The 18,482-nt window shown below is 37.6% G+C and overlaps 1 long non-coding RNA gene and 1 pseudogene across 1 annotated transcript in view, besides 2 other annotated features; one reads left to right on the forward strand and one right to left on the reverse strand.

Annotated features, from left to right (window-relative positions):
• Positions 1-18,482, forward strand: part of LINC02465 (long intergenic non-protein coding RNA 2465) — a 183,750-nt gene that overhangs the window by 74,373 nt on the left and 90,895 nt on the right. The window contains exon 11 of the long non-coding RNA NR_151713.1: positions 16,577-16,777. This is a non-coding gene — a long non-coding RNA (long intergenic non-protein coding RNA 2465). The remainder of the gene's footprint in view (positions 1-16,576; positions 16,778-18,482) is intronic.
• Positions 7,608-8,176: an enhancer, noted in NCBI's record as "NANOG-H3K27ac-H3K4me1 hESC enhancer chr4:130774754-130775322 (GRCh37/hg19 assembly coordinates)". NCBI's record gives its function as "activates a minimal SCP1, AML or CMV promoter by ChIP-STARR-seq in naive H9 embryonic stem cells {active_cell/tissue: H9 hESC(naive)}" and the evidence as "EXISTENCE:reporter gene assay evidence [ECO:0000049][PMID:30033119]".
• Positions 8,177-8,745: an enhancer, noted in NCBI's record as "NANOG-H3K27ac-H3K4me1 hESC enhancer chr4:130775323-130775891 (GRCh37/hg19 assembly coordinates)". NCBI's record gives its function as "activates a minimal SCP1, AML or CMV promoter by ChIP-STARR-seq in naive H9 embryonic stem cells {active_cell/tissue: H9 hESC(naive)}" and the evidence as "EXISTENCE:reporter gene assay evidence [ECO:0000049][PMID:30033119]".
• Positions 14,429-14,509, reverse strand: RNY5P4 (RNY5 pseudogene 4; annotated as a pseudogene).

Consider the following 18,482-nt stretch of genomic DNA (forward strand, 5'->3'; position numbering starts at 1 on the left):
AGTAAGGTTGTAAGTTTATACAGGTAGATTTTCTTCCTTTGTAGCATTGGTATCTTCTTTAGTTCCCCCTGGACAGCCCTTGGGTAAGTGACATTTTAAGAAGTCACCAGAAGACAGCATCTGATTACTTTAGGGTTAATCATTAACAACATAGTTGTACTAGTGACATTGCTTATAGTGTTCAATTAAATGCCAATTTAATGACACTCCACATTTAAACAGCAGTGCTGAGCCTTTATGTAGTTCCAGCCCAGAGGATTGACCAGCTGTCCACTCTTGCTGACCCTCCACATGCCGTTCCTTCTATTTTTCAAGGATACAGGTAATTGCTAGTCCTGAAGGAGACTTAAACAAGCTATTGTTTGGCTGTATCCATGATGCCTTTCTTAATAGGAAATGAATTGGCACTCTTCATAGCACCAAGTTCCCGATAGAAAACTGGGCTTGGATATTAATGCAGTAGGAATTGTGTTTCATGAAGCCTTGGCTGAATATTACACTCTACATTTGCAGCTTTTTATTATACCTTGCATTTTGAGAGGAATGATGGCTGCATTACCACTGACTAAGCAGCTGCAGGGTTATCTCTTTCACACAACCAATCCACTTGGGCTTTTGGAAATAGGGTTTTCATACCTGAAAAGTATTCCCTTTCCAAAAGTGAGAGCATACAAACTCACCAAGCACTAATACTCAGCTATGATGAGACTGCCGGCCCCTGATAATTTGCATCTAAAGAAACCAATTTGAACTAAAATGCTGCTACTGAAATGTGTTTTTCTAATAGACTTCTATAAATATATGAGGTTTTGTGCATTCACATATCCTCAGGTGAATGAAAATAAAGTTAAGGTCTATTTCACCTAGTTGATGCACTAGCTACTTATTTAGATACATTCTAGATGAGAATGTATCTTGAAGATATCAATTGTATCCCCCTTCTTACTTTTAAAAAATATAGTAGACAAGAGCTTACTACATTATTTTTCTTCACGATAAAGGTATTCAAGAGATAGTTTCCATCTCAGATAACCCCACAGTCTAATGGTAAAGACAGGCATAAACAGAAAAATACAATGCAGTGTAGAGGTGAATATGATGTTGGTGGTATTGCACCGGGAAATACAGGGAGATAAAGGAGAGAGACCTGGTCAATACAATAGAAGAAAAATTAACAAAGAAGCCATATACAGAGAAAATGGGTTGAATCATCAATATGAGATGATTTCAGCACTTGGTTCATGTAACTATATTATCAACTTCTAGAATATAAGTTTTTTAAATATGCCATGTATCACCTACCAGGGAAGTCTGTGCTGGTATGTGATATCTGGTGATGAAAATAGTATCAACCTGAGTAAACTGAGAATTAAGTATCTCATTTAAACTCCTTAATAGGGCACACAGCAACATCTGGCATGTGGCAATTGTAAACATTCTCTATCATTAATTATTAATGGAAGATAATCAAATAATTATTTTTTAAGAATGTTTATATTTTAATTAAAATCAGTAATATATATACAGAGACCGAAACAAAGAGACAGAAAGAAAGAAATATTGAGGAAGAGAATCACACACTGTTTATCAGACATTAATACTACAGGAGACCTCTTGAATTCTGCTTTATAGCAAGCCACATTGAGAAATTCTATTTTAACTAAATTATAAGGATAGGCAAGCTATACTTCAATACACTGGTTTGTTATGAGTACACCTTTGTTTTTTATGACTTCTAGCTATTCTAGTGAGAATTTAATTAAATGTTCTTACTTGAATAAATAACTTGATAAAGTGAGCTCAGTGATGACTACTGACTGGAGGGGACTGTCTTTGGTGATTCATTGCTCTGAGGATGCAATGCTGAATTTATTTTGCTTTGTATTCCAACTCTTGAGTGGTGTTTGATCTCAGGCATGGACTTTCTGGATCATAACATTGAATCAAAATTCCCAGGAACTCAGGTCAATTATTTGAATTATTAATATTTCTTAATTTGTGAAACATTGTCATCACCACATCATGTACAATTTCTTCCTTATTTTATCCCAGTACCTATTTCCCATCCCTTCTTTTGTAACCATATAATGAGGTCAGTTTAAGTTCTTTGAATTTGTGCATATTCTTGAAAAATGTCCAGTGTTTCTGAAGTTAATATTTTCTTCCAGTTTTATGTGTAATTATATATGTGATATTGTGCTGTAATCTTTGCTTTCTTTATTGCTTTACTCAATACTAAGTTTTGATGTATTCATATAGTTGTGTATATAACTAGTTCATTTATTCTAAGTGATACATAGTTCCCATTATGTATAGCCAAGAGCATGAGTTTTGTATCATGTGGTATTCACATGCTTAATTTCACCAAATATTCTCATACTGTTCTGCAGAAAGTTTGTGATGGTTTTTGCTACCATCAGAAATGCAAGGTCGATGCCAACAACCTATTATTTACAAAGAAAAAGTTTTTGACACAAAACTTATGTGCAAATTTTGTAAGACAGAGAAGTAAATCTCTGTAGTGAATGTTGTATGATATAAAATTTAAGCAAAACAAACTGGCATGTCTTGTGTCGAGGAGATGCTCTCTAAATAGTTGTTGAAAAATTGAACTAAATGCAGTGGACTTCTGACTCTGTCACATATGAGCTGTGTCACCTTGAATAAATTACTGAACCTCTTAGTTCTTTCATCTCTAAAATAGATATAATGATACTTATTTTATTGGATTGTTTAAAAGATTAAATGAAATCGTGCTTGAGAAGGTTTAGTTAAGCCAAACATTGGCTATTATTGTTATTATTTTTATTGTTGTCACTATTGTTATTTAGTGATGCCTTAGAGGTTCAACTGCAAGGCAATTTTGAAAAGTAAGGTAAATTCTCCCAACATCTATCTCTCCATTACACTGTTCCCAGTAGAGTGTTTTTTTGTTCTTATTTAAACTTTATATGATGCATTAACTGTCAATACATTTATAGCTGATGTTTACATAGGAAATTTTATATTTGCATTTGGAAAACAAAATGCAATCATTTTTTTTTTTAAAGGCAGGGTCACTCAGGCTGTAGTGCAGTAGTGTGATCATTGCTCACTGCAGCCTTGAACTCTTGGGCTCAAGCAATCCTCCTGCCTCAGCCTCCTGAGTAGTTGGGACTATGGGCCTGCACCAACATACCCAGCTAATTTTAAATATTTTTAGTAGAGATGGGGTCTCACATTGTTGTTCATGCTGGTCTTGAACTCCTAGCTTCAGGCAATCCTCCTGCCTAGGCCTCCCAATGTACTGGGATTACAGGCATGAGCCACTGTGCCAGGCCAAAACACAATCATTTTTGAGAAAACAGTGTACAGTAAGTACTCAAGATACATTTTAATTATAATTAGTAAGACATGACAATCACATGTAGCTATTTTGAAAAAAGCAGCATGCATCAACAAAGGAGACATGTACTGGGGATATTTCTGGTTCTAAGAGCCATCGCAGTGTCATACTCATTGTGAGCTATTCTGTGCCTAGTGCACTTGTCCCGAGGTGTTTCCAGAATGCCTTTCAAAGTTTAACCGAGTATTATACAATAAACACCCTCCTCAAATCAAGAAAGTATTATTTTGACTTTTTAATAATAGCTGGCTGGGCGTGGTGGCTCCCATCTGTAATCCCAGCACTTTGGGAGGCTGAGGCAGGCAGATCACTTGAGGTCAGGAGTTCGAGGCCAGCCTGGGCAACATGGCAAAACCCCATCTCTACTAAAAATACAAAAATAAGCTGGGCCATGGGTGGCATGCACTTGTAATCCCACCTGCTTGAGAGACTGAGGCAGGAGAATATCTTGAACCTGGGAGGTGGAGGTTGCAATGAGCTGAGATCGAGCCACTGCACTCCAGCCTGAGCGATAGAGCAAGACTCCATCTCTAATAAAAATAATAATAATAATAATAGCCTTTCTGACTGGTGTGAGATGATACCTCATTGTGGTTTTGATTGCCAATTCTCTAATGGCTAGTGATGTGAGCATTTTTTCATGCTTGCTGGCCACATGTGTGTCTTCTTTTGAAAAGTGTCTGTTCATGTCCTTTGCCTACTTTTTAACTGGGTTATTTTGTGCTTGTAAATTTGTTTAAGTTCCTTACAGATTCTGGATATTACACCTTTGTTGGATGCATAGTTTGCAAATATTTTCTCCCATTATGTAGCCTGTTTACTCTACTGATAGTTTCTTTGGCTGTGCAGATGCTTCTTAGTTTAATTAGGTACCAATTGTCCACTTTCTTTTTTGTTGCAATTGCCTTTGGCATTATTGTTATGAAATCTTAGCCAGGTCTAATGTGTAGAATGGTATTTTCTGGGTTATCTTCTAGGGTTTTAATAGTTTTAGGTTTTACATTTAGAAATTAATGCATCTTGTGTTGATTGTATGGGGAAAGGTAGGGGTCCAATTTCAATCGTCTGCATATGGCTTGCCAGTTATCCCAGCACCGTTTGTTAAATAGGGAGTCCTTTCTACATTGCGTGTTTTTGTTGACCTTGTCAAAGAGCAGATGCTGGCGAGGTGACAGAGGAAAGGGAATGCTTATACACTGCTGGTGGGAATGTAATTAGTTCAGCCATTATATAAAGTAGTGTGAAGATTTCTCAAAGCACTTAAAACAGAATTATCATTTGACCCAGCAATTTCATTATTGAGTATATACCCACAGGAATATAAATCATTCTATCATAAAGACACATGCACACATATGTTTATTGCAGCACTAGTCACACATGCAATCAACCTAAATGCCCATCAGCGGTAGACTGGATAAAGAAAATGTGGTACATATACACCATGGAATACTATGCAGCCATAAAAAGAATAAGACCATGTCTTTTCCAGGAACTTGGCTGGAGCTGAAGGCCATTATCCTAAGCAAACTAATTCAGGAAGTGAAAAACAAATACCACATCTTCTCACTTATAAGTGGGACATAAACAATAACACATAGACACAAAGAAGGAAAAACAGACACTAGGGTCTACTTGAGGGTGAAGGATGGAAGGAGGGAGAGTATCAAAAAGCTACCTATTGGGCACTATGCTTATTACCTGGGTGATGAAATAATCTGTACACCAAACCCCTGAGACATGCAGTTTACCTATAAGGCAAAGCTGCATATGTACCACTGAACATGAAGTAAAAGTTTTTTTTTTTAAAAAGAAAGTATTAAGGAAATTATGAATAAGAAAACAAGTAAACGAAAAAAATAGTAGAATAGATATTTCTATACACAAAAACAACTGTTGCACTAATTATATGAATTGTTTGACAATCAGGAAACAACGTTTAATCATTTCACATCCAAGCATCCTTCTATATAGGGGTTTTCCATATTTTATTTACATGTAGGAAATAAGTTGATTGTTCTATTAGAATGAGTCTAGGTTTTGTAGGAGCTGCAGCTTGTAATATTTGAGGGGGTCTCCTTTAACTAAAATAATATAAAATTATCTTACATTTATGAACATTACAAATATGCATTACTAGTTTCTTCCCAGGATCTTGGAAGGGGTTCCTGCAAGTGAAGGACTTTGAAGGTTAAGTTTCATCAATTTTATGATAAATCAACTTTTGGAATTTGGAATTGACATGTAATGTATCGTAATCTTTTTTTTTTTTTTTTTTTTTTTACACATTACGAAATAGGTACCCAGTTAACATTTTGGCACAGAACATCTGATTCTCTGAAATGTATTGTTGACTGACATAAAGCAGAATATTCCTCTTCCGAGATAGAAATAAACTATGAAGAGAAAGAAAAATGAATGGGAGAAAGGGAAAAAAAACCCTTCAAGTAATTGTAGCTAAAACTTCCTCTTTAGTTCTTTGTTACCTGATGAGTCACTACCAATTCTGTTTTTAATTTTGACTTATTGGTTACTAATAAGTGCATCAGCTCTTGAATTCTCAATGTAATTGAACTGGTTGTACTTGTAGGGGAAATCACAAGCAATTTTATTTCTATTTCCTTTTGTACTTAAAATACACTATGTGGAGTTATTTTAGTCCCTTCCTTTTGGATGAAAACTCACCCAGATTCCATGAGTTGATCATCATTCTTAAGATGGTAAAAGTCCTCTAGTACTTTGAATTTGAGTCACAATTCAAAATTTAAAATGTCCAGTCCTATGTAGAATAAAAATTTCAAATGTGAGTTCCAGTTTGTATTTTCCTCCTTCATTTATCCCCTCTACTTTTTTAGACATTCCCTCATGGGTATTTTCTGACCTCCTCTAAATGTGAAGTATGGGCCAAAAGAATGGATAAGGAGAGGGTGCAAAAAGTCTGAATTCATCGATGTTAGTGTGATGACCCAGGGGGAATGGCTCTTTCTCACCCTATCCCTGAGGTTTTCTCTGCTGCAGTTCCCTGGACAAAGCAAATGAATATCTCTTCAGGACAGTGACTTTTTTTCTCATCTTGTCCATCCCTCAACTTCTTTATTTTTTCTCGAGGTTTTTGTTTTTGTTTTTGTTTCCCTTTCAAGGAACCATCTCAAACAGGATGTAAGATGACCCTGGCCCTACAGTCTTGTGCATGGAAAACATTTATATACTCTTTGCCCTTGTGGACTCTGCTGCCCCACAGCTGCACCTCTTTTTGTGCAGCTTCAAAGCAAGAAACCAGCCCACATTTGCCGTATCAGCTTTTCAGGCAAAAGTCAGTAGCCAGGCCACTGCATCTCCAAACTGCAAGGAGCGTATTTTAAGTTCTCCAAATGGCAAATAATGAAGCAACCCCCATCCCTCGTTCTTAAGGGTACTGGGGTAGGACTCATGAATGTACCAACTACCAACTATAAAAATCCCCTTCTCTGTATTTTGTAGCCTCAATGTTGATAAATGCTTTTAGAGATTTTATGTCTTGTTTCCTATCACCTTTTTTGAAATAGTTTTATCCTTAAATGGAGACTGGCGTGAAATGTGTTTTGATTCTCTTAGTACTTTTATCCAAAAACATCCATAAGAAATGAAGAAATGAAATACTTTTGGCAAACCTATATATTTTTGGTATTGGTTCTTCTAGTCTGTGTATGATAAGTAAATAAAATGCAATATTTAGAATGGCTCTTTCTGTATTTACAGCATGGTACCTTTAGTCATCTGTTTAAAAGGTTACTAAATATTTACTCTGTGAAAGTCCTTAGTCATTTTTTCTTAACAATATTAATCAAAATCATATAGATGTTATGAGACTAGTATCTTCCACATAGTATGAAATGTGCCATTGGATTTTAGCCCTAACCTGAAACAATGGAGTAAAAATGCCTCAGGGAAACATATTGGTCCTTCAACTGACAAGGGACATGTAAGATTGAGATATTTTGTCCAGTTTTGTTTGAATGTTTTCTGTTAAAATAAAAACTACTTTGGCTTGCTATAAAGCATGTGTCCTTTAGGACACTTGTGCCAAATATTATGAGTGATATGATTACTGGGAAACAGACACACCACACACACACACACACACACACACACACACACACACACACACAATCTTTTTCCTGCAATGCCACAGAAGTGTCAAGAAATTAAAAGAAAATAAATTGTCAATCAACAAGGCTAAAAGAAAAAAAAAAAACCAGAAACCAAACAAATGATGAGAAAGAAAATAAGACTGAATTACAGGGAACATGAGAAGATACTTTTGGTCCTCCAAACTTACTGGGATCCTCCACTTACATGATAGAAACTACAGAAATGAAAATGTTTCCCAAATTATTGATTTTTTCTTTCACAGAGAATGCATGTCTAAGTGACTCCCAATATAATTAAAATCAGGTACAATTAACATCTTTGTTTAGGTAAAAATTAAAATTTTAAATCACTGCCTATATATAGATTAGAAATGACTTACCTTAAAAAGGCCATATTCTGGGGAGGAGCCAAGATGGCCGCATAGGAACAGCTCCGGTCTACAGCTCCCAGCTTGAGTGACGCAGAAGACAGGTGATTTCTGCATTTCCATCTGAGGTACCGGGTTCATCTCACTAGGGAGTGCCAGACAGTGGGCACAGGTCAGTGGGTGCGCGCACCGTGTGCGAGCCGAAGCAGGGAGAGGCATTGCCTCACTTGGGAAGCGCAAGGGGTCAGGGAGTTCCCTTTCCGAGTCAAAGAAAGGGGTGACGGACGCACCTGGAAAATTGGGTCACTCCCACCCGAATATTGCGCTTTTCGGACTGGCTTAAAAAACGGTGCACCACGAGATTACATCCCGCACCTGGCTCGGAGGTTCCTATGCCCACGGAGTCTCGCTGATTGCTAACACAGCAGTCTGAGATCAAACTGCAAGGCGGCAACGAGGCTGGGGGAGGGGCGCCCGCCATTGCCCAGGCTTGATTAGGTAAACAAAGCAGCCAGGAAGCTCGAACTGGGTGGAGCCCATCACAGCTCAAGGAGGCCTGCCTGCTTCTGTAGGCTCCACCTCTGGGGGCAGGGCACACACAAACAAAAAGACAGCAGTAACCTCTGCAGACTTAAATGTCCCTGTCTGACAGCTTTGAAGAGAGCAGTGGTTCTCCCAGCACACAGCTGGAGATCTGAGAATGGGCAGACTGCCTCCTCAAGTGGGTCCCTGACCCCTGACCCCCGAGCAGCCTAACTGGGAGGCACCCCCCAGCAGGGGCACACTGACACCTCACACGGCAGGGTATTCCAACAGACCTGCAGCTGAGGGTCCTGTCTGTTAGAAGGAAAACTAACAAACAGAAAGGACATCCACACCAAAAACCCATCTGTACATCACCATCATCAAAGACCAAAAGTAGATAAAACCACAAAGATAGGGAAAAAACAGAACAGAAAAACTGGAAACTCTAAAAAGCAGAGCGCCTCTCCTCCTCCAAAGGAACGCAGTTCCTCACCAGCAATGGAACAAAGCTGGATGGAGAATGACTTTGATGAGCTGAGAGAAGAAGGCTTCAGACGATCAAATTACTCTGAGCTACGGGAGGACATTCAAACCAAAGGCAAAGAAGTTGAAAACTTTGAAAAAAATTTAGAAGAATGTATAACTAGAATAACCAATACAGAGAAGTGCTTAAAGGAGCTGATGGAGCTGAAAACCAAGGCTCGAGAGCTACTTGAAGAATGCAGAAGCCTCAGGAGCCGATGTGATCAACTGGAAGAAAGGGTATCAGCAATGGAAGATGAAATGAATGAAATGAAGTGAGAAGGGAAGTTTAGAGAAAAAAGAATAAAAAGAAATGAGCAAAGCCTCCAAGAAATATGGGACTACGTGAAAAGACCAAATCTACGTCTGATTGGTGTACCTGAAAGTGATGGGGAGAATGGAACCAAGTTGGAAAACACTCTGCAGGATATTATCCAGGAGAACTTCCCCAATCTAGCAAGGCAGGCCAACGTTCAGATTCAGGAAATACAGAGAACGCCACAAAGATACTCCTCGAGAAGAGCAACTCCAAGACACATAATTGTCGGATTCACCAAAGTTGAAATGAAGGAAAAAATGTTAAGGGCAGCCAGAGAGAAAGGTCGGGTTACCCTCAAAGGGAAGCCCATCAGACTAACAGCGGATCTCTCGGCAGAAACCCTACAAGCCAGAAGAGAGTGGGGGCCAATATTCAACATTCTTAAAGAAAAGAATTTTCAACCCAGAATTTCATATCCAGCCAAACTGAGCTTCATAAGTGAAGGAGAAATAAAATACTTACCAACAAGCAAATGCTGAGAGATTCTGTCACCACCAGGCCTGCCCTAAAAGAGCTCCTGAAGGAAGTGCTAAACATGGAAAGGAACAACCGGTACCAGCCGCTGCAAAATCATGCCAAAATGTAAAGACCATCGAGACTAGGAAGAAACTGCATCAACTAACGAGCAAAATCACCAGCTAACATCATAATGACAGGATCAAATTCACACATAACAATATTAACTTTAAATGTAAATGGACTAAATGCTCCAATTAAAAGACACAGACTGGCAAATTGGATAAAGAGTCAAGACCCATCAATGTGCTGTATTCAGGAAACCCATCTCACCTGCAGAGACACATATAGGCTCAAAATAAAAGGATGGAGGAAAATCTACCAAGCAAATGGAAAGCAAAAAAAGGCAGGGGTTGCAATCCTAGTCTCCGATAAAACAGACTTTAAACCAACAAAGATCAAAAGAGACAAAGAAGGCCATTACATAATGGTAAAGGGATCAATTCAACAAGAGGAGCTAACTATCCTAAATATATATGCACCCAATACAGGAGCACCCAGATTCATAAAACAAGTCCTGAGTGACCTACAAAGAGACTTAGACTCCCACACATTAATAACGGGAGACTTTGACACCCCACTGTCAACATTAGACAGATCAACGAGACAGAAAGTCAACAAGGATACCCAGGAATTGAACTCAGCTCTGCACCAAGCGGACCTAATAGACATCTACAGAACTCTCCACCCCAAATGAACAGAATATACATTTTTTTCAGCACCACACCACACCTATTCCAAAATTGACCACATACTTGGAAGTAAAGCTCTCCTCAGCAAATGTAATAGAACAGAGATTATAACAAACTATCTCTCAGACCACAGTGCAATCAAACTAGAACTCAGGATTAAGAATCTCACTCAAAACCGCTCAACTACATGGAAACTGAACAACCTGCTCCTGAATGACTACTGGATACATAACAAAATGAAGGCAGAAATAAAGATGTTCTTTGAAACCAACGAGAACAAAGATACAACATACCAGAATCTCTGGGACGCATTCAAAGCAGTGTGTAGAGGGAAATTTATAGTACTAAATGCCCACAAGAGAAAGCAGGAAAGATCCAAAATTGACACCCTAACATCACAACTGAAAGGACTAGAAAAGCAAGAGCAAACACACTCAAAAGCTAGCAGAAGGCAAGAAATAACTAAGAAGGAAATAGAGACACAAAAAACCCTTCAAAAAATTAATGAATCCAGGAGTAGGTTTTTTGAAAGGATCAACAAAATTGATAGACTGCTAGCAAGACTAATAAAGAAAAAAAGAAGCATCAAATAGACGCAATAAAAAATGATAAAGGGGATATCACCACCGATCCCACAGAAATACAAACTACCATCAGAGAATACTACAAACATCTCTATGCAAATAAACTAGAAAATCTAGAAAAAATGGATAAATTCCTCGACACATACACCCTCCCAAGACTAAACCAGGAAGAAGTTGAATCTCTGAATAGACCAATACCAGGCTCTGAAATTGTGGCAATAATCAATAGCTTACCAACCAAAAAGAGTCCAGGACCAGAAGGATTCACAGCTGAATTCTACCAGAGGTACAAGGAGGAACTGGTACCATATATTCTGAAACTATTCCAATCAATAGAAAGAAAGGGAATCCTCCCTAACTCATTTTATGAGGCCAGCATCATCCTGATACCAAAGCCTGGCAGAGACACTACAAAAAAAGAGAATTTTAGACCAATATCTTTGATGAACATTGATGCAAAAATCCTCAATAAAATACTGGCAAACCGAATCCAGCAGCACATCAAAAAGCTTATCCACCATGATCAAGTGGGCTTCATCCCTGGGATGCAAGGCTGGTTCAATATATGCAAATCAATAATTGTAATCCAGCATATAAACAGAGCCAAAGACAAAAACCACATGATTATCTCAATAGATGCAGAAAAAGCCTTCACAAAATTCAACAACCTTTCATGCTAAAAACTCTCAATAAATTAGGTATTGATGGGACGTATTTCAAAATAATAAGAGCTATCTAGGACAAACCCACAGCCAATATCATACTGTATGGGCAAAAACTGGAAGCATTCCCTTTGAAAACTGGCACAAGACAGGGATGCCCTCTCTCACCACTCCTATTCAACATAGTGTTGGAAGTTCTGGCCAGGGCAATTAGGCAGGAGAAGGAAACAAAGTGTATTCAATTAGAAAAAGAGGAAGTCAAATTGTCCCTGTTTGCAGACGACATGATTGTGTATCTAGAAAACCCCATTGTCTCAGCCCAAAATCTCCTTAGGCTGATAAGCAACTTCAGCAAAGTCTCAGGATACAAAATCAATGTGCAAAAATCACAAGCATTCTTATACACCAAAAACAGACAAACAGAGAGCCAAATCATGAGTGAACTCCCATTCACAACTGCTTCAAAGAGAATAAAAGACCTAGGAATCAACTTACAAGTGACGTGAAGGACCTCTTCAAGGAGAACTACAAACCAGTGCTCAAGGAAATAAAAGAGGATACAAAGAAATGGAATAACATTCCATGCTCATGGGTAGGAAGAATCAATATCATGAAAATGGCCATACTGCCCAGGGTAATTTACAGATTCAATGCCATCCCCATAAAGCTACCAATGACTTTCTTGACAGAATTGGAAAAAACTACTTTAAAGTTCATATGGAACCAAAAAAGAGCCTGCATCGCCAAGGCAATCCTAAGCCAAAAGAACAAAGCTGGAGGCATCACACTACCTGACTTCAAACTATACTACAAGGCTACAGTAACCAAAACAGCATGGTACTGGTACCAAAACAGCATGGTACTGGTACCAAAACAGAGATATAGATCAATGGAACAGAACAGAGCCCTCAGAAATAACGCCGCATATCTACAACTATCTGATCTTTGACAAACCTGAGAAAAACAAGCAATGGGGAAAGGATTCCCTATTTAATAAATGGTGCTGCGAAAACTAGCTAGCCATATGTAGAAAGCTGAAACTGGATCCCTTCCTTACACCTTATACAAAAATCAATTCAAGATGGATTAAAGACTTAAACATTAGACCTAAAACCATAAAAACCCTAGAAGAAAACCTAGGCATTACCATTCAGGACATAGGCATGGGCAAGGACTTCATGTCCAAAACACCAAAAGCAATGGCAACAAAAGCCAAAATTGACAAATGGGATCTAATTAAACTAAAGAGCTTCTGCACAGCAAAAGAAACTACCATCAGAGTGAACAGGCAACCTACAAAATGGGAGAAAATTGTTGCAACCTACTCATCTGACAAAGGGCTAATATCCAGAATCTACAATGAACACAAACAAATTTACAAGAAAAAAACAACCCCATCAAAAAGTGGGTGAAGGACATGAACAGACACTTCTGAGAAGAAGACATTTATGCAGCCAAAAAACACATGAAAAAATGCTCATCATCACTGGCCATCAGAGAAATGCAAATCAAAACCACAATGAGATACCATCTCACACCAGTTAGAATGGCAATCATTAAAAAGTCAGGAAACAACAGGTGCTGGAGAGGATGTGGAGAAATAGGAACACTTGGACACTGTTGGTGGGACTGTAAACTAGTTCAAACATTGTGGAAGTCAGTGTGGCGATTCCTCAGGGATCTAGAACTAGAAATACCATTTGACCCAGCCATCCCATTACTGGGTATATACCCAAAGGAGTATAAATCATGCTTCTATAAAGACACATGCACACGTATGTTTATTGCGGCATTATTCACAATAGCAAAGACTTGGAACCAACCCAAATGTCCAACAATGATAGACTGGATTAAGAAAATGTGGCACATATACACCATGGAATACTATGCAGCCATAAAAAATGATGAGTTCATGTCCTTTGTAGGGACATGGATGAAATTGGAAATCATCATTCTCAGTAATCTATCGCAAGAACAAAAAACCAAACACCACATATTCTCACTCATAAGTGGGAATTGAACAATGAGAACACATGGACACAGGAAAGGGAACATCACACTCTGAGGACTGTTGTGGGGTGAGGGGAGGGGAGAGGGATAGCATTGGGAGATATACCTAATGCTAGATGACGAGTTAGTGGGTGCAGCGCACCAGCATGGCACATGTATACATATGTAACTAACCTGCACAATGTGCACATGTACCCTAAAACTTAAAGTATAATAAAGAAAAAAATTAACTAGAATATTTGGTGGAGTAAAAAAAGAAAAAAAAAGAAATTACATTTTGCAAGCAATTTTTCAGAAGAACTAGTCAATATATTTGCTTTAAAAATGTAAGTATATGACTTTAATAAAAACTCGTGTGACTTTAAAAAAAAAAAAAAAGGCCATATTCTTTCCAGAAGGAAAAACCGATTACGTAACAGTGATTATTTTATTCTGATGTATTCTGTTCAATATGTTAAGCTTAGAATAGATGAAGTTTTACTTTGAATATAAATTATTTATTTTCATTATATTTACAACAGCTGACAGTTTTAGTAATAACAGGATTATGGGGGGATTTTCTATTTTCAATCTCATCTCTTAGTAGTAATACAAAAATAATAAGTCCGATTCAGGACCTGGGTAGATCAAGTAAAAATGCCACAGGTTTAGTTCATGTAAGTAAAGATGCTTTTATTCTGACACTAATGTAGAGCTTTATTTAAAACAAACAAACAAACAAAACGAGTCAAGCATGGTTGTTGGGGGAGACTACGTTAAATCAGGTTAACAATAACCCAAAGTGCTCTGACCAACTGAGACCAACTAGAGCTTTCCTATAGTTAAACACCTTCTGACCTTCTGGTGGCATTAGATTCAGGCTACCTATACACTGCTAGTAAGTCCTACTTTGCCTAAGTCACATTCAAGGTATGCTAAGGAGTGTTTTTAAGTTTTAGTTTTTTGTTTTGTTTTGGTTTGGTTTTTTTAAGTTTTTTTCCATTCCAGTGTCTGCTGTGCTGTTTGGGAAACAAAAAATCATTAACAAAATCAAGAAAATCAAATTTGAGACCTGCTTTAATGGCTGTTTCACTTTATAGTGAAAACTCAAACTTAACTCTTCACTGAGCACATTTCTTGGCTATCACTTTGATCCTTGGGTACATGTAACACAATGCAAAGGTGCAAGTGATATACTTGCTAATTTATTTGAGATCCTTCTCTCCACTAATCCTATGTAGAATTATGATAATCCAACATGATAATTTTTATAAATGCATTAACATTTGGATTACTATAACTGATAAATCTCAGTCTACCTACTTTTCAAAACTACCATTTTGCATTCTTTACACTGGCCTTATGGCATTTAAAAATTCCAATGGTATTTGAAATACAAGCATAAAGCTAAGGAATTGAGATCCTAGAGTTCAACTATGAAATTTTAAATCAAGGGAAAATAATAATTCAAGGGTAGTTTAGGATAATTGTTTCATTTTCCAGTCAAGAAAATTGAGGTTGTACAGGTGGAACCAATAGGTGACTAGTGTTAGGATAACCAATTAAGACTGATCATCACCAGAACACGAGCCTCTCATGTGCTGCTAATCCAGGGCTCTGTCGATCAAGACTGAAACCAAGAATGAAGAAATAAGAAATAAATATGCTTTCCAATCTCAAGTCATCTGAAATTTATTTTAAAAAGCTTAAACTAATAATTCATACTGCTTTAGGCCTGCTACTTTCATTCTTATTCGTAAATAACACTTCACCCATAGTAAATGCTTGATAAATATTTGTTGAAATGAATTAAATTTATTCAAGGATAAATATAGTGTACCACATCTTTTCAAGGCTTCACCACATTAATATCAATTCATGAATTTCACAAGCTCTGAGGTTCTACTTACTCGGTAGCAGCACCTGCCCTTTACCTAAAAACTCTGTTAATTCCGAGACTATAAAGCAGGTGGTCTCCCATGTGCTCAAGGACATATCACCTTGTGTTGTTTTGCTCTCAGTCAAGGAGATCTATTTGTCTCTCTGCCTTCCGCACCCTTCATTTGAATATGTGCCTCCACAAGGCAATGACATCCTCCAATGGTGGTCACCTAATCCTTTCACGATGCCAAAGCTATCCCATGATCAGGGATAGAGGTGAGGAGAATGGTTATTTCCCTACATTTCTGTGATTCTCTCTTCCTGAGGTCTAAAGCAGCATGGCTAGATCACACATGCTAATAAGTAGACGAGCTAATATATAAACCCAATTAGTCTGGCTCCAGACTCCCCATACACTGTGTGGGGTGTGGCACATCTATTTCATACTTTACATCGTCCTGTGCTCTCTGAGGATCATGCATGCAATGTCTATCTTCAGTCTCCAGGCAAACCAACAAAATGTGCACACAAATTAATTGGTTTTTTTTTTTTTTTTTTTTTTGCGGGGGGGATGGAAAGGGAAAGAACTTTCTCCATCTTCTCTTTCTAGAAGTGTCCCAGTCACAACTCCAGCCTTTCAACTCAACTCATTGTAATGAAGCAGAAAGGTTTTTCATTCTGTGATATGTATTTTATAATTTTTCTCTGTGTTATTTACTTACTTATTGATCTAAGACCTATGGTCTGGTTTTGAAAAGCTAGGCAGCAGTGTTCAATTGTTTGTTGTTTTTTTAAAGTATACTTTTCTTTACGGTGTTGCTGCATTGTAAACAATTCTAAAATCTCAGTGTCTTACCTCACTATTTCTTGCTCATGCATTTTTACAGGCCAGCTCTGGCAATGCTGAGCTCAGATGGAATTAGCTAGGCTTGGATCCAGGCTGCAAGTTAAAGCTCAGTGTTTCTTCTCATTGGTTAAAGCTCAGTGTTTGTTCTTATTCCAGAACCAATGGCTCTACCCAACATATTCTTCTCACCACAGATGACAAAGACACAAGGAGCCAAGACAGATCATTCAAGCATATTCATTGCCTCTATCTTCATCCCATTAAATAACATCCCGCCAACCAAAGCAAGTTATCTGCATAAGAATAAATATTCCACCTACTCTACTGCAAGGCCCTGCAAGAGTCATGAGACAAAAGGTTTGGATGTAATCCTATTACAGTGAGTGGGTAGGGGTAGTGAAGAGCAGAGAACCTTAATCCATTTTACCACAGTTATCAATAATGACAGTAAGAATAGTAATAGTGATGATGATGATGATGTAAACAAGTTTTCTTTTCCGCAGCTTTTAACATTAAGCTTTATTCACCCTGAGATTTTTACCCTTAATTTAAAGGCCTAGTAAGATGGCCTTACAGAAATAATTTTTTTTTTCTCCATGAGCCATTTAAGAGCACTTTAATAAGGAGGAAAAGAAATTCCTTGTGAGTGAAGAGAGGCATGCATTGGAGATGATGTGTTACTGTGAAACAGCGTACAGAATGTAGAAATTAGCTTTGAAAATGTGACACCCAAATTAACATCCTGCCTAGCTCCAATCAGCTTGAGTATTAGGGAGAGAGGACTGTAGTCTCAATTGTGTAAATTTAGAAGAGGCATTTTTTAAAAAAACTAAAACTACAGGCTGCAGTATTTTGTTGCTTAGATAATAAGAGTGTGTCACACTGGGAATGAGGGTTCCTTCTTTCCACTTTTTAGACACTCCTAAAACCCAGCAGCCTGAGAATGAAACAGGAACAGTCTGCAAGTTAATTAAAAGCGGTGGAGGCTTATGGTTCAGCAACCATAGATAACAGTAGGTGATCCCCACTGTTGAGATGTGATGACTTAACACGATAGATGGAGGGAGGAGAAAACTAGCAGAACCCACAGTGAGAGAACTGGATTTAGTAACGTACACAGACATCTTACTGGAGAGGAAAATTCAAGGAAGAATTTTTACTGCCACTTCAGTCTGTTTGTGTCCAAACTAGTGTGTTTGAAGGCATTCTGGCTTATATTATTATTATTATTATTGTTATTATTTATTACCACTATTATTCATATATTAGTGTTTTAACTTCATTGATGAGACAAGATGACGAACTTTGACAATTCTTTTGTTCATGAAAGGGATACAATCGCCCAGCTCCACTTTGCCTAGGCTATGATATAGGAAACAAAATTAGATCTATCCTAAGAAAACAAGAATGAAGAATAGCTTATCCAATCAATAAAAAATTACTGTCATTTGGATAAGAATTTGCCTGATGTACAAAAATTTGCTTGGCAATCTCAAGTTTTTATGTTTCCATAATATGCTACATAAGTGCTAGAATTTATTTATTGCTATCTAGTTAGAAGAAAATAAAAGCTGCCCCATCAGTAATACAAAATTGTATTCCAATACTTTTCATCACATAAGGGACATTCCACAGGCTATGAAATTCTCAATAAAACGGCAAACCTCATTGAATTGTCTCATACTGAGTTGAATATCAATAAAACTACAATTTTATTGGTAACTGCTGGACAGCAGAAATGGGAATCACATTGATTCACATTATCATAGTTTAATATCCTTTAACAGATATTGTTCCTTAGGTTTACTTTTCAAAGATCTTTCTTCTCTCATTAAACCTACCCTTTCTGTGGGACTTTCTTTCTCAAAAATTTCATCTATTTCCATGCTTTAAGTATGAATGAATCCTGAAAGTTTATCTCTAGACCAGCGTTTCAGTCTCCTTGACAATGAGCTTTGGATATCTGCATGGAGCTGAAACTTGGCAGGTGAAAAAACAAATTCATTTTCATACCTCAATATTTCCCAAAACATTCATTTCCTCTAGACTTTTTTTATTTCTT

The sequence above is a fragment of the Homo sapiens genome, chromosome 4 (genome assembly GCF_000001405.40).
Source record: "Homo sapiens chromosome 4, GRCh38.p14 Primary Assembly".
NCBI lineage: Eukaryota > Metazoa > Chordata > Mammalia > Primates > Hominidae > Homo > Homo sapiens.